Raw genomic sequence first — 23,132 nt, 5'->3', positions numbered from 1 at the left:
TAGGTTTTGCCCCCATTTTATAGATGGGAAACTGAGCCTCTAAGAGCTCCAGTGTCTGTCCAGTTTTCATACTGTGAACAGCAGAGCTGGGATTTGAACCCAGACTTGCCTTTGTCTTTTGTACTTTATGACATAGCCCCCCAAGGGTGTCTTCATCCTGCTCAGACTTCAGGACACGCTGTGCTGGGCCCACAGGCCATGGGTGCCCCACCGGACAACCACCTTCTGGTCGGCACCACAGCAGGCACCTCTGGCCAGATCCCCCAGGACACAAAGGAGCACGTTGGCCTCTCCCATGGGTGCCTCCCTGGCGGGATGAGCTGGGTGGGTTTGTTTTGACAAGGGTATTTCTGCCTCCTGGTGGCAGGCAGGCCCTGGGCTGGGCAGTGGCGGCACCTGTGGGAATGTGACCCCTCCCTCCAGCCGTGCTTTGGAGGTGATGTCAGGTATGTGGGTGAAGTATTTGGTTGAAGTAAATAAAGCTGGAGGAGAATGACAGGAGTGGGGAGTATGGATAGAATCGGACTGCCCCAGAGGGCACTCTGGCTTGGACCCAGCAGTGTGTGGTTGCAGCAGCCTGTTCTTCCTGACCTGGGGCCAGGAGACCTGCGCCTTTACACGTCCTGCCTTAGAGCCCAAAGCAGTAGGAATTTTCACAGCCAGCTTGGGAGGTTGTGCCATCTCGAAACTGCAGAGCCCAGAGCTTGAAGGGGCTTTGGATGCCATCCACTGCCTGACTTACAGTTGGGGGGCTGAGGCCCAGAGAAAGGACGTGGCCTGCTTAAGCTCACATGGCCTTGGGTGGTGGAGCTGGACCTGCAGTTTTCCAATCTGCAGGCCTGGGCTCTTTTGCACCACCCTGCTCTATTTGGGGAGGGTGGAAGCAGAGAAGCTTAGACCAAATTCCTGGGGAACTGCCACTCTGCTGACCCTTAGCTTCCTTTTGGACCCTCCCTTAGTGCCGTTCCTTCCTGCTCCATCCGCATCACAGCCCTATAGGAGGAATGCACTCTGGAGCCCCTAGTGGTGGTGCGGGGCCTGGCAGAAAAGGAGGAGCCTCTGGCCCTGGATTCTTTCAATTCATTTCCTCAAATATTAATGGAACATGCAGGATGCAAGACGCCACAGGGGATACCAGGAATCCTAAAACCAATTTGAATTTTCTCAGGGAAAAGGCTGCCACCCAGGAAAGTGGCATCACCTGTGAGAGACAGCCTACAGCTTAGGACTGCCAGCAGGCCAGCGTCATCAACACGGAGGGGTTAGAGCACAGGGTTGGGGGAAGCTCAGGGAGAAGTAAGGGAGTTAGCTGGGTGGTCAGGGTGGCTCATGTCTGTAATCCCAACTACTCAGGAGGCTGAGCGGGGAGGATCACTTGAGCTCAGGAGTTTAAATCCAGTCTGGGCAACATCTCATCTCTTTTTTTAGAAAAAGATTCTCTCTAAGTAAGGGAGTAAGGGGAGGCAGGGTTGAGGGGGAAGAGGCTCTGAAAATGAAGAGGAGTAGGACAGGCATTCCAAGCCAGAGCAAAGGATGGAGTTGAGATGTCGTTGTGGAGTGGTAGTGCCCACCCTGCGGGGATATAGAGCAGGTACAGGCAAGGGATGGGTGGTGAGGCTGGAAAGAGAGCATGGGGCAGTCAGTGCCTTGACTACTTCAAATATCAGGTGGGGCATTTGGACTTTCTCCGGTGGCCAGTGGGACCACTGAAGATATTTAACCAGATTCAGTGATGTGTTGGGGAGAAAGGGATTGGACTGCCAGGGAAGCCCCCACCCCACTGCTCCCCACTGATTGTGACATTACAAGCTGTTGCACCTTGGCAAATCATTTAGCCCTGTGTGAGCCCCGTTTTCTTATCTGTGAAATGGAGTTTATAACAGTACCTATCACTCAGCGTGGCTGCAAGGATCACATAGAACACTAGCATCAAATTTGGCTTAGTAAACATGCTGTAAATGTTAGTCCCTACCCTCTGTCCTGGCTGTCATCAGGCTAATAGTGGAGCTTGGGACAGCAAGAAGGAAGCCTGTCTGAAAGCAGGTAGAGCTTCAGGTTTAGGGGCCCAAATCCCCTGGCCAGCCTATAGGTACCTTGGTGGCCTAGGAAGGAAGCAGAAACATGGCTGGATAGCAGGGAGCCATGGCCTCTGTTTACTCCCAATCAGGGCAGGTCTGAGTCTATGGGTATGTCTGGTCCAAATGGCCCAATAAGTGAATGGTGAAGGTAGGGACGAGAACCTGGGTCCTGACGACCCAACAGAGCATTCCTACTGCCCCACGGCCACCTTCCAGCCTGAAACCCCCAGGCTTCATCCTTTTATCCAGACCCAGCTTGGGTGTTCGCCCTGCCAGGACCTCCGTTTTCTCATCTGACTTGAGGACCTCCTGCTCAGGAGCTCCTGAGGCCAGGGATGGGTTCTGGGGCTACTCACTTGCATGGAAGCATCACCAGAAGAAAAGGCACCCTGGGGTAGGACACAGGTGCCAGAGGAGGAAAACAGCTGTGTCTGAGCCAGGCACGAGGTTGCCCCAGGTTGCCAGGCCAGAGTGGCATTGCTGCTTCTCTCTGGGATAGATTTTTTTTGTTTTGTTTTTTTTGAGACAGAGTCCCTCTCTGTCACCCAGACTGGAGTACAGTGGTACGATCTCAGCTCACTGCAGCCTCTGCTTCCCGGGTTCAAGCAATTCTCCTGCCTCAGCCTCCTGAGTAGTGGCAACTACAGGCGTGTGCCACCACGCCCAGCTAATTTTTGTATTTTTTTTAGTAGAGTCGGGGTTTCACCATGTTGACCAGGCTGGTCTTGAACTCCTGACCTCAAGTGATCCACCTACTTCAGCCTCCCAAAGTGCTGGGAATACAGGCATGAGCCACTGCGCCCGGCCTCCTGGGCTAGATTAATAAGACCCCTGAGAAGCAAGGAAGGGGAATCATTTAGTCTAGCGGTTAGGAGCACAAACTTTGGGGCCTGAGAGATAAAGGTTAAAGTTCCTAATGAGGGATAATACAAACTAATGTTATAGTCTCGGTTTCTTTTCTTTTTTCTTTTTGACAGGGTCTCACTCTGTTGCCAAGTCTGGAGTATAGTGGCACAATCATAACTTATTGCAGCCTCAACCTCCTGGGCTCAGGTGATCCTCCCACCTCAGCCTCCTGAGTAGCTGGGACTACAAGTGTGTGCCACCATGCTGGGCTAATTTTTAAAAATTTTTTTTGTAGAGACAGGGTTTCTCCAAGTTGCCCTGGCTGGTCTTGAACTCCTGGGCTTAAGCAATCCTCCTGCCTCTGCCACCCAAAGTTCTGGGGTTACAGGCATGAGCCACCACACCTGGCTAGTCTTGGTTTCTTCTTTTTTTTTTTTTGCAAAAGGAATGATAACACCCACCATGTGAGGTAGTTGAGAGTTCAATGAAGTGTAAAGTATGTCGCATGTTTGCTTAGCACTGGGTCCTGTATATTGCAGGGGCTTAATCAGTGGCACCTGTCTTCACTTGGGGCACATATATTGAGCAGCTGCTGGATATCAGGCTCTATCCCAACCTCTGGGGAGATGACAGGAACAAAACCCTTGGGCAACCCAGTAGAGGGAGACAAGCAGACAAGCTCATCAGAGTAAGAAGCACTGTGTTCGGGTATTACAGGGTACTTTGGGAACTGGGGAGGGTGGTAGGCAGGGAGAGAGCAGAGAAGGCCTTCTGGAGGAGGTACTACCTTTGCTGAAATGTGAATAGGAACTAGCCAGGTTTGGGGTTGGGGTAGTGCAGGGAGAGTGTTCCAGGCAGGAGAGAAGTCACCTGCTGTGTGTTAGGTGCTTGGGGTGGGGCTGAGGACAGATGAGACTCGGGCGGGGGAAACATGGCCCTGCCCTGGGGTTCTTTTTTTTGTTTGTTTTTTTATTTTTGTTTTTTTTGTTGTTGTTTTTTTGAGATGGAGTCTCACTTTGTCGCCCAGGCTGGAGTGTAGCAGTGTGTTCTCGGCTCACTGCAGCCTCCACCTCCCCGGTTCAAGTGATTCTCCCATCTCAGCCCCCTGAGTAGCTAGGATTATAGGTGCATGCCACCACGCCCAGCTAATTTTTATATTTGTAGTAGAGATGGGGTTTCACCATGTTGGCCAGGCTGGTCTCGAACGCCTGACCTCAGGTGATACCCCCTGCCTTGGCCTCCCAAAGTGCTAGGATTACATGTGTGAGCCACTGTGCCCGGCCTGCCCTGAGGTTCTTATAGACCAGTGAAGAAACCATCTCTCCTGGACTGTGTGCCACAGAGGTGAGCCTGTGTGAGGAAGGAGACTCCCATCTTATTTCAGCCTCAATTCTTCCCCTCCACCACCTCATCCCTACTGCTCCATAGTCCTGGGGATCACCAGGTCTGGCTCCCACCCCCATTCAGCGTGTGGTGTGAGATGGTGTCCTGGGCTCTCAGCTATGGTGGTCGGGAGGGCTGGGCCATGGCCCTTCAGCCCCAGGGAGATGTCTCACTGTCTTTTCCCTGGAGGAGAGGAGAAGTTCCTAAGAGGGTGAAACTGCCTGCCTGGGAGGTAGTTGGCAGTTGGGAGGTTGCAGCTGACTGCATGGGGTGCCAGGACACTTGGGTCCATGGGCAGCCCCCAGTGGGCTGGTCAGGGGTGCTAGAGTGGGGCCACTTTCCTGGATCCTCTCCAGGTCATAAGCTGACTTCACCCACCCTCATGCTCCTTTCTGTACAGCCTTAGGGAAATTTGCGGTGCCTTGGGGAGACTTGGACACATTTTCAAAACAGTGTTGAGAGTAATCTCCAGAGGGGAAGAAGAATAAAAAAGCAAAAAAAATGCAAAAGGAAATGTGTTATTTATTTTTTTTAAAAAAAGGAAAAAAAGCCAAGGAAGGCCTCAGTCAGCTCCCTTGAGTGGAAGTTTCCAGCTGGAAGGTCACAGAGACCATAGGCAGCCAGGGGGACCTGGGAGAAGGCATCTGTCCAGATTCACTATCAGTTCAGCTAACAGCTAGGGTCACCCTCAGCATGCCAGCTGCTGTGCTCTGCATTGCAGGGGCAAAGATGCAAAGATCTGAGTCCTCCTTCCGGCTGAGGACAGCTCTGGTAGGGGAGCTATGATAAAAACAGCAAAGGGCCGCTGGACAAGAGAAAGCATGCCAAATGTCATCACAGAAAGGTTCAAATAAGCCTGGTGGGGCCTGGAGCGGGGTGGGGCTCACTCCTGGGGGTGGTGGAGGGTGCTCAGGGTTGCTGAGGAAAGTCTGCAAGAACACAGTGGGTTGAGTTAGACTTTGAAGCCCAGCTAGGATTTCAATGGACAGAGACTGAACAGAAGGCTTTCCAGGCAGAGCAGATGGTGTGAACAAAGGTGCAAGCTGTGGAAACCCTTCAGTGCTTTAAGAAACAGGGATGTTTGATTTTCTTAAATATTTATTTATTTAATAGCTTTATGGAGATATAATTCACATACTATATAATTTATTCACTTAATGTGTACCGTTTACAAAGTTATATAACCAACACCACCATAGTTTATAGAAAATAGAAAAGAAACCTTGTACTCCCCATCTCTCCATTCCCCCAATCCTAGGGGACTACTAATCTACTTTCTGTCTCTGTGGATTTGCCTATGCTGGGTATTTTGTATCAATGGAATATTTTTTGTCTTTTATGACTGGTTCTTTCCCTTAGCATAAATGTTTTCAAGGTTCCTTGCTGCTGTAGCAGGTATCAGTACTTCATTCCTTTTTATATTTCATTTTATTTATTTATTTATTTATTTATTAATTGAGACAGAGACTCACTCTGTTGCCCAGGCTGGAGTGCAGTGGCACGATCTTGGTTCACTGCAACCTCCACCTCCTGGGTTCAAGTGATTCTCCTGCCTCAGCCTCCCGAGCAGCTGGGACTACAGGCGTGCGCCACCACACCCACCTAACTTTTGTATTTTTAGTAGAGACAGGGGTTTTGCCATGTTGGCCGGGCTGGTCTCAAACTCCTGACCTCAAGTAATCCACCCACCTCGACCTCCCAAAGTGCTGGGATTACAGGCATGAGCCACCGCGCCCAGCAGTACTTCATTCCTTTTTATTTTTTTCTTTGGCTTCATTCCTTTTTATGGCCAAATCGAATTCACATGTGGATACTAGATGTGCTATGGGTGTTCACATCTTGTTTATCCATTCATTCACTGTTTCCCCTTCAGGGATATTGGGAATATGCTGCTGTGAACATTTGTATACATATTTTGTGTGGATGTGTGTTTTCAGGACATTTCCTTTAGAGTGGAGTGAAGGAAAGTTGTGTGGAGTGGGAGAAAGTGGGTGAGGCAGAGGGGACCGTAGTCTGAGTGGTTGGGTGGGAGTGAGAAGGGAGAGCTCAGGATTCCATTGCAGCCTCACTGGGAGTCTGGGGTGTGTGAGGGCCAGGCCCATGGGTGTGTGAGGGGCTGTCCCCTACCCTGCACCCACCTGCATTGTTGTGTCAGACCTGGCAGCTGCTTGCTGGGCTGGAAATAGCCTGAGCAGCTGGTATTTTCCCTGGAAATCGGGTGCATTTTTCCTGTGTCCTGCTGAGGACCAAAATTAGTTAAACGCAGAGAGAAGTGTGGGCTACACAGTGAGTCTAGAGGAGGGGAATGTTGTCAACAGGAAGTTGGCTGGCCAGGGGAAAGAGGCGGTCAGGAAGACCAAGGTCAGTAAGCCAAGTATAAACAGAGGCTAAGCTGGGATGTCCCCGTCCCTTTCACACCCACACAGCAGTGCTGGGTTTGTTTACAGGAAATGCTGCAAGTATCTCATTGGCCCCATTTGACAGATAGGAAAACAGAGGCACTGCATTAAAGGGATCTGCCACTCAGAGACAGAATGGAGATGAAGGCTGGAGTCTTCAGTTCTGCTGTGAGCAGAAGGTTTGGTAAAACCCAGGCCTTGCCCTCAATGCTTTACCTGTCTTTGGGTTCACAGAGAAGACTGAGGACCAAAAACAAGGAAGAGTTTATGCTGTTTCAGTCTCCTAAAAAGAACACCAAGTCCCACCCCAAACCCCAAAGCCAAAACACGAACCAACCAGCCTTTAATTACCGTCTTTTTTTTTCTTTTCTTCCTTCCTTTTTTTTTTTTCTACTTTTTGTTGTCCAGCCAGAAAACATTATGTTGTTAGACAAGAATATTCCCATTCCACACATCAAGCTGATTGACTTTGGTCTGGCTCACGAAATAGAAGATGGAGTTGAATTTAAGAATATTTTTGGGACGCCGGAATTTGTTGGTGAGTTGTAGGCCTGTTTGTCTTTCAGCTAAGAATCTGGCATCAAAGGTAGGGATCCTGGGAAGAAACCTGTGTCTGGGGCTATGGCCTCTGAGCAAAGAGATGATGCATTGGGACATCTCTAGAAACCTAATGGGTGGGGAAGGAAATGTCTTATTGGGCCTGGGGATGAGGGCCCAGGTGTAGGCTTTGAGTGCTCAGTGAGGCAAGGGCTGAGTGGGGCCCAGTGGCTCTCAGTGGGGCTACAGCCTGTAAGGTTAAACCCTTGTAGCGCTGGCCCCACCTCGTGCTCTTAGATGAGTTTATTCTTGTGAAGACTTAAAATTACCTCGCCCTCTTGAATTCCCATAAACTCAACCTTCTCTGAACTAGCTTTTGATTTCCTGAAAAGGAAAAAGGAAATCATCTGCCAAATACCACATCCACCCACTCGCCTCTCCTCTATGCCTGGCTTTATTCATGCATGGGGGTGCCCAGCTCCAGTGGGGCCCTGGCTGCTTCCTCTTCCCTCTGTTTCTGTCACCCTTGGCCCAGGCCCCTGCCCATTCTGTACCCCAGAAGCCTCCTTATAGGGCTTGGGCCGGAGATTGGGGTCATGAAGAAATAGCCTGTAGAGGGGGAAGGAATGAGCGCTGAGAACCACCATCTGTTTATCTGCTTTGGGAGTTGGAGTGGTCTTGGAGATAGGGAGGGCATGATGTCCTCAAAATCTGGGTGCTAAAACTTCTGACCACAGTCAAATAAAAAAGAAAGAATGTGTCAGACCAACCACCTGGTGGATTTTCAGGCTCTGCAGCCACCGTAGAATGCTGCTCAGAGACCCCACAGATCCCAGGGCAGGAAGCCCTTGCTGTGTGCCAGGCACTATGTCTCATGCTCTACAAACATTGTCTTAATTATCCCCAAATGGCTTCATGAAGCAGAGTTAATTATTTTCTCCAACAGGTGCCTTGTTCAAGGCAACCCAACCAGTAGGCAGTGGAGCTGAGATTCAAATACAGATACAGCCAACAGCAAAGCCTGTGCTCTTCCCATTATGCCAGGTTGTCTCTCTAACAAACCCTGCCCTCAAAGAGCTTACAATTTAGTTGTAGAAACAAGGCATCAAACCATCAAAAAAGAGTGCCAGAAGGATCTTTTTAGATTTTCTGGTCCAGTTTAACACACGTGGAGATGGCAGGCTGGGGGATTTTAGTTAAGGTAAACTCAGGTTATTTGTCACCTACTGTATGACAGATATTAGGTGATGTATGGGGGACACAGCGATGTTAAGGAGCCATACTCAGAATGACACACCCAAGGTCACAAGTTGGTGGCAGAGCCAACTTAAACCTGGGGCACAGACATCTAGACTTGAGCTTTGTCTGAAAGAGCAGTTGCTACCCACCATTCACATATGTGGTAAAAATGCATGTCTATTAAGTTTATTATAATTGTTAAATAACAATAAACAACTAGAAACTGAGAGCAATAAGGAAGAGGTATCACAAGACAGGATGTGATTAAGTGTAAAGCAAGTAAAATAGATGTTCTGAAAAGACTGTTCATATGAGATACCCACTCTGGCAAAGTCAATGGGATCAGTCATGGCCTTGAGTGAGTGAGAGGAAAAGGGCTGGTGTTGGAGTGGGAGAGGTCTCTGAAGAGGGGTGGGGAGGGAGCCAGAGGAGGGGAGGAACACCTCCCAGGTTCACTGATACCCTACCAGGGAAGTAAGGCCAGAGTAAGGCATTTATCAGGGACAAGTCACTGTCCACTCCAAATGGAGCCCAGAGTTCACACTAGACTGTTAGTGTGAGTGGGTTATTGATGGATGAGGCTATACAATGGAGAGTTTTGCCCAGTGGTATGCTGATAAATATCCAATAACCAGGTCTCAAAAAAAAATTCCCTAATTTATAGCATTGGCCAATTTCAAGGTACTGGCATGTTGTCACTCAACACAGAGTTGGAAAGACATATACCTCATTGGCTTTTGTGAGCCAGTATGGTTTTGTTTGCACTGGTTTTGTTTTACCTTAAAATATATAAGATGACTTCTCCAACCTCTTGGCTAAATTGTGATGACTTTCTTTCCCAAGACCCCTGAGAAACAGGTTATAACCATTTTCCCCTGCTCCCACCATTCCTTTGATATTCTAACCTCAGACCCAGGGTTAAAAAATTAGTGTCAGCTTTTAGTACTAGGGTGGATTAGGTGTTCTGAAAAGCCCTCCTCCTACAAAATTGGATTTTTTTTTTTTTTTTTTTTTGAGACAGGGTCTCACTCTGTCACCCAGGCTGGAGTGCAGTGATGCAATCATACCTCACTGCAGATTCAATGTCCTGGGCTCAAGTAATCCTCCCACCTCAGCCTCCTGAGTAGCTTGGTCTACAGGCATGCACCATTATGCCTGGCAATTTTTTAAAAATTTTTTTGAGGTGGGGTCTCACTATATTGCCCAGGCTGATCTCAAACTCCCGGATTCAAGTGATCCTCCCACCTCAGCCTCCCAAAGTGCTGGGTGACAGGCGTGAACCACCATGCCCGGCTTACAAAACTGGATTCTTGAGAAAAATTTTCTTTTTCATGAAATTCTGGTCTCACAGGAAATAAGAGAAATCTTTATTTTTATTTATTTATTGAGACAGAGTCTCACTCTGTCACCCATGGAGTGCAGTGGTGTGATCTCAGCTCACTGCAACCTCCGCCTCCTGGGTTCAAGTGATTCTTGTGCCTCAGCCTCCCTAGTAGCTGGGATTACAGGCACCCACCACCACGTCTGGCTAATTTTTGTATTTTTAGTAGAGACAGGGTTTCACCATGTTGGCCAGGCAGGTCTCGAACTCCTGACCTCAAGTGATCCCCCTGCCTTGGCCTCCCAAAGTGCTGGGATTACCGACGTGAGCCAGCGAGCCACCGCTCCTGGCCAGAGAAATCTTTAAACATAGTAACTCCTTCAGCACCACCTGTCCCACCCCCAAAAGCTGATGAGTTGAACCTAGAGCTAGAGCAGTGAGCAGCAAGAAAATTCAACAGAAGGAACTCCACTAGAGGCAAGTGCACTTGTCGCCACTTCAGTTAGAGACTAGCAAAATTTAGATGTTCAAGGACATAAGATACTGAAATTATCAGATGTTGACTGTAACATCTGATGGATGGAATATATACACTAGTGGAATATAAATATTAAAGTACATTTTATATACATAGAAATAAAAGGTAGACTCACAAGAATGAGCAAGCAACAAGAGGTGTCAAAAATGACCAGATGAATTTTAAAAAGAACAGGATGATAGAACTTTAAAGAATTTAATTGTTGAAATGTAAAACTCTGTGAATGGGTTAAACAGCAGATTGTATACAGCTAAGGAGAGAGTTGAAGAATTGAAAGAGCTGAAACAAATTAGCTAGAGCACCATAGAGTGACAAAGACATAGAAATATGAAAGAGAGGATAAGCAAAAGAGGATAAAAAGAAAACTTATCATAGATCTCTTTGGAATTCTAAAAGGAGGAAATAGATACAAAAAGAAAAAAAGGAGAAGCACTATTTGAAGAGAATGGCTGAGAATTTTCAGAACTGCATCCATGCATCCACAGACACAGAAAGGACAATATATACCAGGCAGAAAAAAACAAAAATCTTACCTAGACACATTATAGTGAAACTGAAGGGTACCAAGACAAAGCAGTCAGGGAAGACAAATACCTGCAAAAGAACAATAATTAGATCTACAGCATATTTCTCAAAACAACAATGGAAGCCAGTATCCAGTGGAATATTATCTTCAAAGAGCTGAGGAAAAATAAAAAGTAAACCCATAATTGTGTGCCCAGAAAAAATATATCTCAAGAATGAGGCCGGGCATGGTGGCTCATGCCTGTAATCCCAGGACTTTGGGAGGCCGAGGTGGGTGGATCACTTGAGGTCAGGAGCTCGAGACCAGCCTGACCAACATGGTGAAACCCTGTCTCTACTAAAAATACAAAAATTAGCCAGGCATGGTGGCGCACGCTTGTAATCCCAGCAACTTGGGAGGCTAAGGCGGGAGGATCACTTCAACCCAGGAGGCAGAGGTTGTCGTGAACTGAGATCTCGCCATTGCACTCTAGCCTAGACGACAGAGTGAGACCGTGTATCAGGAAAAAAAAAAAAAAAAGAAGGCAAAGATTTAAGAAAAACAAATAAGAACAATTAAAAAAAAACCCCAAAACATTGATATAGAGTTTGCCACCAATACACCATCATTAGCAGAACTTCTAAAAGATGTACTTCTGAATTAAAGAAATGAACTCTGAAGGGAGGCCTCAAAGCAAGAAGTAATAGAAGCAAAGAAATCAGTAAATATTAAGCAAATATAAACATTTTTCTGCCTAAAATTGTGATGATGGCTGGGCGTAGTGACTCACGCCTGTAATCCCAGCTTTTTTGGGAGGCCAAGACGGTTAGATCACTTGAGGCCAGGAGTTTGAGACCAACCTGGGCAACATGGTGAAACCCCACCTCTACTAAAAATACAAAAAATTAGCCAGGCATTGTGGCTCACACTTGTAGTCCCAGTTACACTGGAAGCTGAGGCAGAAGAATTGCTTGAACCTGGGAGGCGGAGGTTGCACAGAGCTGAGATAACACCACTGTACTCCAGCCTGGGCAACAGTGAGAGTCTGTCTCAAAACACAAAACAAAACAATAGGCTGGGTGCCATGGCTCACACCTGTAATCTCAGCACTTTGGGAGGCCAAGGTGGGCGGATCACCTGAGGTCAGGAGTTCAAGACCAGCCTGGCCAACGTGGTGAAACCCCATCTCTACTAAAAATACAAAAATTAGCTGGGTGTGGTGGTGGGTGCCTGTAATCCCGGCTACTTGGGAGGCTGAGGCAGGAGAATCACTTGAACCCAGGAGGCAGAGGTTGCAGTGAGCCAAGATGGCACCATTGCACTCCAGCCTGGGTGACGAGCAAGACTCAGTCTCAAAAAAAAAAAAAAAAAAAAAAAAAACTAGGATAAAACTAGAACATGAAGAAAATGTTAGATGCAGCAGTGTTTAAAATTAATGTTCTGAGGTTTTTAGGTTGTTCGAGGAGCATCAAAATGTTGATTTATATTAGAATTTGTTAGATATCCACAGTTATGTCTCAAAGATAGCTGTTAAAAAAAAGAAGTTGGGGAAAAACAATAAAACCAAAAGTCTTCATTTTTTAAAGAAGGCAAGAAAGGAAAAGAAAAGCACAGAAAAAAAGACAAATAAAAGCATGTTGATGACAGAAATAAAAGTGTATGTATCTCAGATCAATGGCATGAGAAAGTGAGTTCTGCTTCTCAATCTATGATGAAAGCTTTAAAAAAAAAATTCAGCTGGAAGTGGTGGCTCAAGCCTGTAATCCCAGCACTTTGGGAGGCTGAGGCCGGAGGCTTGAGCCTAGAAATTGAAGACCAGCCTGGGCAACGCAGTGAGACCTCATCTCTACAAAAAAATTTAAAAATTACCTGGTATAGTGGCACATGCCTGTGGTCCCAGCTACTTGGGAGGCTGAGGTGAGAGGATCGCTTAACCCTAGGGGGTTGAGTCAGCAGTGAGCTGTGATCATGCCACTGCACTCCAGCCTGGGTGACTAAGCAAGACCCTGTCTCAAAAAAAAAAAAAAAAAAAATCAATCTGTCCTGAACTGCTACTTCAGTAAGATACAATAAAAAATAAATTCTTAGGCCAGGCGCTGTGGCTCACGCCTGTAATCCCAGCACTTTGGGAGGCTGAGAGGCGTGGATCACCTGAGGTCAGGAGTTTGAGACCAGCCTGGCCAACATGGTGAAACCCCGTCTCTACTAAAAATATAAAATTAGCTTGTTGTGGTGGCGTGCACCTGTAATCCCAGCTACTTGGGAGGCTGAGGCAGGAGAATCACTTGAACCCAGGAGGTGGAGGTTGCGATGAGCCGAGATCACATCATTGCACTCCAGCCTGGGCAAAAAGAGTGAAACTCTGTCTCAAAAAAATAAAAATAAAAACAAATAAATTATTAGAAAAATGACCACAGTTTGGATGTCACAACAGTGTCACATTGCTATCAGAGTCTCTAAATGCATAGTCCAAATTTCTGTGCCTATCTTGTTGGACCAGTGACAGTCTGTGGACTATTCGTCTGCAGACCACACTTTGAATTATCACTGACCTAAAGAAAGTCTTTCATGTGCACATTAGGAAACACATGCAAAAAAAAAGTTCATAGCAATGTCGTTTCAATAATTGTTTAAAATGGGAGCCATTTAAATGAACTCTGAGAGGAGAATGACTAAAAAATGATACACATTCACACGATGGATTACCGTATAGCAGTGAAAATGTAAAAAGCATGGATGAACAATCAGTGAACACTAGAAGCATAAATGTTCAGTGAAAAAATAAAGTGACTATAAATCACATGCAGTATGACAGCATTTTTATAAAGCTAAAACAGCAGCAAAACCAGGAGCGTAGTTCCCTGAGTCTTAAAGTAGCAGGATGCAAGAGGACAGGAGGGCAGACACAGGCTGTGGATGCAATGGTTTTGATATTGTTTTAGATAAACTCACACTTTCCCACTCTCCACCTTTTCCATTCGCAGTTGAATGGGCTCAGTCCTTCCTCCTTCTCAAGCTACTGTCCTCTTTTTTGCCTCCATGATCTCCAAGCTTTTAAAAAGTGTCATCTAAAAAAAATAAATAAATAAATAAAATAAAGTGTCATCTATACTCTTACCTCTACTTCTTTGTAGCTTCTTTTTTTTTTTTTTTTTTTTTTTTTGAGACGGAGTTTTGTTCTTGTTGCCCAGGCTGGAGTGCGATGGCACAATTTCAGCTCAACTGCAACCTCCATCTCCTGGGTTCAAGCAGTTCTCCTGCCTCAGCCTCCTGAGTAGCTGGGATTACAGGCATGTGCTACCACGCCCGGCTAATTTTGTACTTTTAGTTGAGACAGGGTTTCTCCATGTTGGTCAGGCTGATCTCAAACTCCCAACCTCAGGTGATCTGCCCACCTTGGCCTCCCAAAGTGCTGGGATTACAGGCGTAAGCCACTGTGCCCAGCCTTTTTTTTTTTTTTTTTTAAACAGGGTCTCACTCTGTCACCCAGGCTGGCGTGCAGTGGCATGATCTCAGCTCACTGCAACCTCCACCTCCCAGGTTCAAGCAATTCTCATGCCTCAGCCTCCCAAGTAGCTGGGGTTAAAAGCACCCGCCACCATACCCAGCTAATTTTTTTTTATTTTTAGTAGAGATGGGATTTCGCTATGTTGGCCAAGCTGGTCTCGAACTCTTGACATCAAGTGATCCACCTACCTTGGCCTCCCAAAGTGCTGGGATTACAGGTTTGAGCCACCACGCCCATCCTATACCTTCTTGACACTCTGGGCACTGCGGGGCTGTGAAATTCAACACTCACTTTCCAGGGATTATCTGCTTGATCTCTGGGGAGCATTTGATCTTCTTCTCTCCTTGGCAGAGCCATCTCTCCTAGTCTCTGCACCCTCTCCTGCTCATCACATCGTTGGCTCAGCTCCTGCTCCTTCCTGTACATGGATGGCTCCAAACGTGATGGCTCTGGACCACTCCCCTGGAGCCTGCCCCTGGACATCTTCCCCTGGCTGCCCCTCAGGCACCTCAAGCTCATTGTCTCAGGGACCCCCAGGAATGTCCTCCTGCTCCTCAGGTGGGAGGTACCCTCTTTCAGACCAGACTCAGGAAAATGGAGTTCTTCTCTGCCTTCTTCTTCATCACTTTCCAGCACTGACATGACTGGTCTTTACCAGAGAGTTCTAAAGCAGGCCACATAGCCGAGGCCCCATTTCTCCTTCCTGTACCTTCCTCTCCCTGCCCTTCTCTTCCTTTTTCAGGTGTTCGGTGTACTTTTCCTCTTCCTATCAAGGCCTGTTTGTAAAAGGTTTCTACCAGGATAACAGACAACTCTTTTCTTAGTCCTTTTGGGCTGCTTTAATGAAATACCTTAAAGTGGGTCATTTATAAACAACAGAAATTTATTGCTTACAGTTTTGAAGGATAGGAAGTCCAAGGTCAAGGTGCCAGCAAATTTGGACTCTGGTGAGAGCTCACCCTGTTTCATAGATGGTGCCTTCTTGCTAAGTTGTCAAATGACCAAAGGGGCAAACAAGTTCTCTCAGGCCTCTTTTTCTATTTCTTTCTCTTTTTTTTAAGATGGGTCTCACTCTGTCACCCAGGCTGGAGTGTAGTGGTGCAATGATGGCTCACTGCAGCGTCAGCCTTCCCAGGCTCAAGCAATCCTCCCACCTCAGCCTCTTCCCAAGTACCTGGGACTGCAGACATGTGCCATCATGCCCAGCTAATTTTAAAAAATGTTTTGTGGAGATGGGGTCTCACTGTGCTGCCCAGGCTGGTCTCCAACTCCTGGGCTCCAGCAATCCTCCTGCCTCAGCCTCCCAAAGTGCTGGGATTATAGGTGTGAGCCACCACAGCCAGCCCTCGGGCCTCTTTATAAGGGTACTAGTCCCACTTGTGAGGTTTCCATTCTCATGACCTAATCACCTCCTAAAGACTCTACTTCTTAATACTATTGCATTGGGGATTTGCTTTCGATATATGAATTTGGGGACGCACAAACATTTGGGCCATGGCAACTCCTTTCCTCAGAATCTTAGATGCAGATCACCTTTATCTGCTGCTCTAATTTTCCTGGAGATTCAGGATGGAGATATTTGGCACCAAATTCCCTAAAATTCCCTAAAACCATCTCTCCTCTCATTTTCACACTCATGTTGACTATTTAATATGACTTCTTTCAGCTCCAGAAATTGTGAACTACGAGCCCCTGGGTCTGGAGGCTGACATGTGGTAAGTTGGATAGGCCACTCAGGTGACCTAGCGATCCTTCCAAGGGCGGAAGGCCTCAGATCCTGCTCCAGGTGACATCCGCTTAACCATGAAAGCCCCTTACTCCACACTCACTGTTCAGAGCCTCTGGCTGCTCCCCCGATGTGTTAGACCTGTGGCCAGGGCAGCTGGAGGTCTCTAGGCCTGGACCTGAGGCCAGTTAGCTCCTGGCCAGGTCAGAGCTTTGTCAGGAATGGAGGAGCAAGAGGAGAGGCAAGGGGGAGGCGCAGACTCACCCGTGGGCCTGCCCCAGCTGGGGTTAAATATAATAGTAACAGTAGCTCGCTCAGTCAGCCAACCAAGTCATCACTGAAAGTCCATGAGTTCTGGGCACTGTGCTGGGCCTGTGGATACTGCAGGGATTAGTCCTCTGCACAGATGGGACTCGTTTCATTTGGACGCTGCTTTATAGTTGGCCAAGCACCTTTGTTACCTGGTTTTCTAAAATCCTGCCAACAGTCCTGTGAGGTAGTTATCATTATCCTCATTTTACAAGGGGGGAAGGGCTCCGAGGTGGTAAGGGACTTACCTAAATCACACAGCCTGCAAGTGCAGGAGTCTGATCTTGAACTTGGGTCTTCGGACTCAGGGTTCAGAGCTCGATGACTCCAAACACACCCCGGGCTGCTGCTGAAGAGCAGGATGGAGATGGGTGTGGAGCATGAGACGGCATCCAGGGTCTGCTGTGGAGGAGGCAAGTGACCTCTTCCCCTTAGATCCATGAGGGTGTCCCTTGCTGGTCGGGGATGGGACCCAGGTGGCCCTGACTTGACTGTTCTTTATTTTGCAGGAGCATAGGCGTCATCACCTACATCCTGTGAGTATCCCTGATCCAGGGGCTCTGGCTCAGCTTAGATCTGGGGGAACCAGAAGGAATGAGAGAGGGGCAGGCTGATAGACTGACATTTACTAAGCACCCACCATAATCCAGATGTGTTAAGTCCACACAGCAAGCCTGAGGCTAAGTGCTGTAGGTCCATTTCATCCATCTGACCCTGGCATTGAGGTTGAATAGGCATCCAGGGGAGCAGCCTCAGGCTCTCCACTCTGCACAACCTGTGTCTGCATTCCTCCTATGGAATGCCAGGGCTCCCCTGCTCACCCTCCCCCAGACTGAGGTATACTGGAGAATGTCACTTTTCACTCAGAACTCTTTTTTTTTTTTTTTTGAGACAGAGTCTTGCTCTGTCACCCAGTCTGGAGTGCAGTGGCGTGATCTTGGCTCACTGCAACCTCCACCTCCCAGGTTAAGCAATTCTCCTGCCTCAGCCTCCCGAGTAACCGGGATTACAGGCACCCACCACCACACCTGGCTAATTTTGTATTTTTAGTAGAGACAGGGTTTCACCATGTTGGCCAGACTGGTCTTGAACTCCTAACCTCGTGGTCCATCCACCTCAGCCTCCCAAAGTGCTGGGATTACAGGTATGAGCCACTGTGCCCAGCCCTTCACTCAGAACTCTTGGGACAGCCCTGTGAAGCTACTTATGCCCTCCCCAATCTTGCCTCTTCTTTCTTTCCCCTTTTCCCCAGATCCCCTTTTCTTCCTCTCACTGTCTCTCTCCTCCTTTCTCCTTCCTCTTTGCCTGTCCCTGAAGTACTCAGTTGCTTAGACAGAGATTTCCTGCATAGCTCCAGTGTGTAGTGAGTTACCTCTGGGGCTGGAGTCCCATGATACTATCACTTTCCATCTCTGTGGCCTTGGGTAGGGACTTAACCTCTGGGCTTGTTTTTCTCATGAGAAAAATAGGAATCACAAACTTCCTGCCATGGGTGTGTTGTGAAAGCTAAATAAGTCAACATGCGCAAGTCTCCTAGCCCTGACTCTGGAACATGCACAGTGGGCTAGTGAGTATTCATTCCATCAGCCCTTCCCAACCTTTTTGCCTTCATGGCACACATGGAAAATGCTATTTTTATAGCACCCTGGAGTAAGAGTCAACCAGATGGGGCAGGGGGCACCAGTGCTCAGCAGCTGAGAGGATTATTCTCTCAATGATCCCTATGAGCCAGGTCCCTGATTCTCCCAGCAGCTCTTGGACTAGGAGCCCTGTGTGACGTGGTGGATCCCCCTGAGCTGCAGCTGAAGATCTCAACCCTGGCTGCACAGCAGAGCTTTTAATACCCACCATGGCCCAGGCCCCACCCCAGATCTATTATATCACAATTGCTAGGGGTAGGGACTTAGTATCTGTATCTTTTAAAACTCCAGCTGAATTTGATGCAAAGAGAAGGCTGAGAACCATGGATCTATAGTTTCAGATCAGAGCCAGAACGGTCTGATGTTGGCTCTTGAAACTTTGATTTCTTCAGGACTCTGATTTGAACTATGAAGGGATCCCATGTAATCCCAGCATTTTGGAAGGCTGAGGTGGGCAGATGCTTAAGTCCAGGAGTTCAAGACCAGCCTGGGCAACATGACAAAACCCCATCTCTACAAAAAACAAAACAAAAAACTAGCTAGGTGTGGTGGCACACATCTGTAGTCCCAGCTACTTGGGAGGCTGAGGCAGGAGGATCGCTGGAGGATCGCTTGAGCCCAGAAGTTGCAGTGAGCTGTAGTAGCACCACTGCACTCCGTCCTGGGCAACAGAGCAAGACCCTGTCTCAAAAAAAAAAAAAAATGGAATCCCAGTGTCTACTGAGCACATAGTCTTCTTGTGGCTCATTTGAATTTAACAGCTTTGTTGAGGTCTGCTCCATGGCAGGCACTGTACCAGGCACTAGGATACTGACATGAAGGAGGGTCTTCCCTGCTTGCTGGGGCTCCCTGTCTGTGGGAGACACACCATACACCTAACTCACACCCAGTGGAACCAAGGTTAGGCTGGAGGAATGAACATGCCTCTTTGAGACACAGATGGGGAGCCACTGGTTTGCTGGACTGCTGAAGGTTTATTGAGAGAGAAATAGAGACAGCACATGATTGATGGATCAATTTGAACTGGGATGTAGGGAACGAAGTTAATTCTGTGGGTGGAGGAGGGAAGGGCTGTGCTGGCTGAGGAAATGGCATGAGAAAAGGAACGGTAAACCTTAAGTGTGGCTGAAGTGTACCAAGCGTGGGGTAAGGACCAACTCTTGATGCCTTGCTCAAGAGTTTAGATGTGATCCTGTAGAAGATGGGAAGTCATAGAGGGCTTTTGTGTTCTCACAATGACAATAATAATGGCCATTAATTCCAGAGCCCTTAGTGTGGGCCAGGATTGCATGAAGGCTTTTGTATGCATGTATTCTTCACAGCAATCACATGAGGTGGGAATTTTATTTTCTTCATTTTGCAGATGAGGAAACTACACAAGGGGTTCTAGCTTCACACAGCTAATGAGTGGCTGAGCTGGGATTCAAACCCAGGATTGCAACACCAAAATTTGTACAGTGCACCTTGCTGCCACCATGCTAAGAAAGTGGCTGTGGAAATGGGGATGACTTTCAAGAGATATTTAGTAAATGGAACCAACAAGGAAGCTTTTGGCCAGTCAGATGTGGCAAGGGAATAGAAAGAAGAGTCCAAGGTGACTCCTGTGCTTCTAGCTCGGGTACATTTGTGAAGTAATGTGATTCATCAAGGGAGTGCTTGGAATGGGTTTGGACACAATGAGTTTGGGACAATGGCACATCTGATCCAGACACTGCTGGATCATACCTCTACCAAGGCATCCCATGAACAACTGAAATCTGAGTCAGGAGATAGTAGATGTAGGAGTCATTATTTGTATGACATCCTTGACAAACCCTGTTGGGGAACCACACAGACCCTTCTTGTCCCTAATGGCCCATCTATTTCCAAACTTTGTGGGCTCTGCTCAAGTTGCTCCTGTAACCCAGAAGGCCTTTCCGTCTCCTTCTCTGACTGCTGACAACCTCTTTATTCTTCAAGACACAAATGATGCAAATATCTGTGCCACCGTGAAGCTGCACTGGGCCTCCCTCTTTCCTGTGCTCCCCTATCCTTTGGCTGGCCTTCCATTATATTCTGCTTGTCTTGCTGGGGATCACAAAGAGACATGTCTCTGTGTTTCTCTCCCCTCCGCTTTTGAGTCCGTTGAAGACACAATTTCTCTCTGTCGGGTGCTTAGGAGGAGCTCCATGAACATGTATTGAATTGGACTTAGCTGAACAGGCTGCTGGTTGGCTGCCCAGAGGGGGCAGGCTGTGTTGCTGGGAGCCTTCCAGCTCCCTGCAGCAGTCATGGGGCAGGGTTCCCCGAGTCCGTAATCCCCATTTCCACCTACTTTCCCTTAGTTATTTGATTCCCTGTCTGTCGTACTCAGCTTAAGTGGAGCATCCCCTTTCCTGGGAGACACGAAGCAGGAAACACTGGCAAATATCACAGCAGTGAGTTACGACTTTGATGAGGAATTCTTCAGCCAGACGAGCGAGCTGGCCAAGGACTTTATTCGGAAGCTTCTGGTTAAAGAGACCCGGTAAGAGGACAGAGAAGCCACTGGTTTCTCAGGTACTGATCCCTTCCTGTCGCCTCTGTCAAAGACCTGTCAGTATGTCCCCACTTTGACATAGCTGTCATCTGCACTGTTGTGGTCTAATCCGGGCAGGTGCTGGAAAGTGTGGCCTAGCCAAGACGTGGCATTCATCTTGTTTGCTCAAGTCTTTCTGCTTTCTTCTCCTGTTGAAATGTAAATAATGTGTGTGTGTGTGTGTGTGTGTGTGTGTGTGTGTGTGTGTGTGCGCTACAAGTCAGCCTGGGTTTCTTTAGGGCTCATTACCTTGTGCAGTCTGTCCCAAAGGCACCTGGAATTCAGATTTGAAAAGTTTAAGTGGCAGGGTTTTCAAGCCAGTTCAGGTTGGGAGTAGGAGCTGGTAGGCTCAGAGAGGTCAGTACAGTGGGATGGTGGAAGACATGCTAACCCTATCCCTTCTCCAGGGGCCAGGGTGAGTCCCGTGGCTGTGGGGTCAAAGAAGGAAATAGGCAGGGAATTGCAGGGCGCTGGGTACCCAGAGCATGCTCTGGATGGGGCAGGAAGAAAGGTCCACAGACTAGAACACCATGTCCTCTCCATCCCACAGACTTCAGAGAGGGCCAGAGTGGGGTTGTCTGGAGTGCAAGGGCCCTGATTTTCCTGTCTAAGAACAGTGCTAGGGAGAGTTGCTTACCTGGGTACAGAGCAGCGAAAGGCAGAGAACGGATCCAGGAGGCAAACAGAAAAACAGACCAGGGATTTAGCAATGGAGAGTTGGCTTTTGGAAGATTCTGGAAGCTCATTGGAGCATTTATGACTCTTCTTAGGCCTTTCAGCTTTGGGACTAATAGTATGGGTGTAGGTAACAAGGCCACTCTATTGAGGGGTCTGTCTGGACTGCTTCCTTCCCCTGGAGTGCAGGATTTGCAGCCAGCTCCCATCCATCTCTGCATCCTCCATTCCACTGGTTTGACGGCAGTGGCCAAATAATGCCAAAATATAGGTCTAAAAAGAGTGAGAACGGAGATGGTTGCTCCCAACTTCTGTCCTCATGGATCATCACTGTTTCCCAATCCTCATTGCAGGAAACGGCTCACAATCCAAGAGGCTCTCAGACACCCCTGGATCACGGTAAGGGCACAGCCATGAGTTCCAATGGGCAAAGGGTCCCTGCTCTGTCGCCAGGGTTGGCCTGGGCAGCCAGATGCAGAGGGCCCATGGAGAGGCCTTTGCTTTAAACACTGACCCTGGGCACAGATGAAAGCTAGCCAGGGGCCCCAGAGGGCCTGGGCTTATTCGAATAGGTTTATTTGCTTGCTATTTTAAGTTTGTGTGTCTCAAATTCAGGTAACTTATGAAATGAAACCCTCACAAACCACAGTTGAAACCCTTTTTCTTTGGGGCCAACTTACACAGTGTTCTTTGTTGAAGGGTATGTCACTGCCACTTCTCCAAGTGGAAATCAGGACTCCCCAGGTGTAGAAAGATAGATGACAATTGAAAACCCCCACTTTGTGACCAGGCCTCCTTCCTTCTGATTTTTGGGGCTCTAAGTCAAGGATGACACTTAAATCAGCCACCCACCTCCTCAGGCCCTGAGGAATGGGGCCTGAGACAGAGGCCTGGTGGGGAAGAGAGACAGCCACTGTTAGGGCAATTCTGTTCCCTCTGGGGAGAGTCAGGGCAAAAAAATGAATCCCTGCCTAACTCGCCTTGCAGTCGGGCTTCCTGCTGGCTTTCCAGTCAGCTGCTGGCTTTCCAGAGGCTCTTGTGGTCTGGTGTGGTGAAGAGCACTTTGAGAGGGTGAGACTCAGCAGGATTCAGGCCCTAATTCTGCTGACTGACCAGCTATGCACACCCAGGGACGTCACCAGACTTCCCATTCACCTTAACTGTTATGTGAGAAGGCCAGCAAGGATGAAATGACCATAAGAAAGGTGGAGATAAGAAAAGGTGAGGCAGGCCAGGTGCAGTGGCTCATGCCTGTAATCCCAGCACTTTGGGAGGCCGAGGCAGCAGAAGGATGACTTGAGCCCAGGAGTTCAAGACCAACTTGAGCAACATGCCAAGACCCCATCTCTCTAAAAAATAATAATCAATCAATCAATACAAAGAGAAGGTGAGGCCTGTGGAAGACAGAACAGGGAGGGCTGGAGTCGTCTGGGAAGAGGTCAGCTTTATCTGCTCAGCTTCATCAGCTCATTGAAGGATGGGGAAGGCCCAAGGAGCCCTGAAGGAGAGATGCTCCTCAGCCCTGCTGCGTGAGCCCTGGCCTTGCGTGCTCCAGCCCTGCGCAGATGCCTGCGGAGTCCTGGCTGCAGCCTGCTTGTCTGCGTGAGCACCCCTTAAATGCTATGTGTGTGGAGCTCTCTCTAATGGCTGTGGACCCTTCTGCCCTGAATGAGCATGCAGACAGCACCCCCACACTCCTTGACCTCACTTATGGCCTAAGGAGGTGCTCATCCCACCCTGGTTCTCCCCATGGCCTGACGCATGCAGTGAATGCCAGAGGCCGCTTGTGTGCCTTCTGCCTACCCTTTGGACTGCCCTCTGGGGTGGGCGGCAAATTAACACTCTGATTCTTCTGTCTGAACACCCACCAG

At 48.2% G+C, this 23,132-nt stretch overlaps 1 protein-coding gene and 1 long non-coding RNA gene across 25 annotated transcripts in view; one reads left to right on the top strand and one right to left on the bottom strand.

The window, feature by feature from the left end:
• DAPK2 (death associated protein kinase 2) overlaps window positions 1–23,132 on the top strand; it is a 139,450-nt gene that overhangs the window by 100,010 nt on the left and 16,308 nt on the right. For 14 of the 24 annotated variants that reach the window (NR_169523.1, NR_169524.1, NR_169522.1 and 11 more), the window contains 5 exons: window positions 7,115–7,244; window positions 16,021–16,069; window positions 16,899–16,925; window positions 20,383–20,535; window positions 21,615–21,660. Coding sequence is in view for 20 of the 24 variants with exons in the window: in NM_014326.5 (NP_055141.2) it covers window positions 7,115–7,244; window positions 16,021–16,069; window positions 16,899–16,925; window positions 20,383–20,535; window positions 21,615–21,660 (405 nt within the window). In the remaining 4 variants the exon portion in view is untranslated. Of the gene's footprint in view, window positions 1–7,114; window positions 7,245–16,020; window positions 16,926–20,382; window positions 20,536–21,614; window positions 21,661–23,132 lie in introns of all 24 variants that reach the window. The other 10 variants (NM_001395283.1, NM_001395284.1, NM_001384998.1 and 7 more) reach the window with 5 other exon arrangements.
• Window positions 10,523–18,202, bottom strand: LOC101928988 (uncharacterized). The gene is made up of 4 exons (NR_120344.1): window positions 17,988–18,202; window positions 16,638–16,965; window positions 13,799–13,914; window positions 10,523–10,935 (listed from the first exon to the last, which is right to left on the bottom strand). It is a non-coding gene; the product is annotated as an uncharacterized LOC101928988 (long non-coding RNA).

This window comes from Homo sapiens, chromosome 15 (assembly GCF_000001405.40).
Source record: "Homo sapiens chromosome 15, GRCh38.p14 Primary Assembly".
NCBI classification, from domain to species: Eukaryota; Metazoa; Chordata; class Mammalia; order Primates; family Hominidae; genus Homo; species Homo sapiens.
Note: the sequence above shows the minus strand (reverse complement) of the source record. Positions and strands in the feature narration are given on the sequence as shown.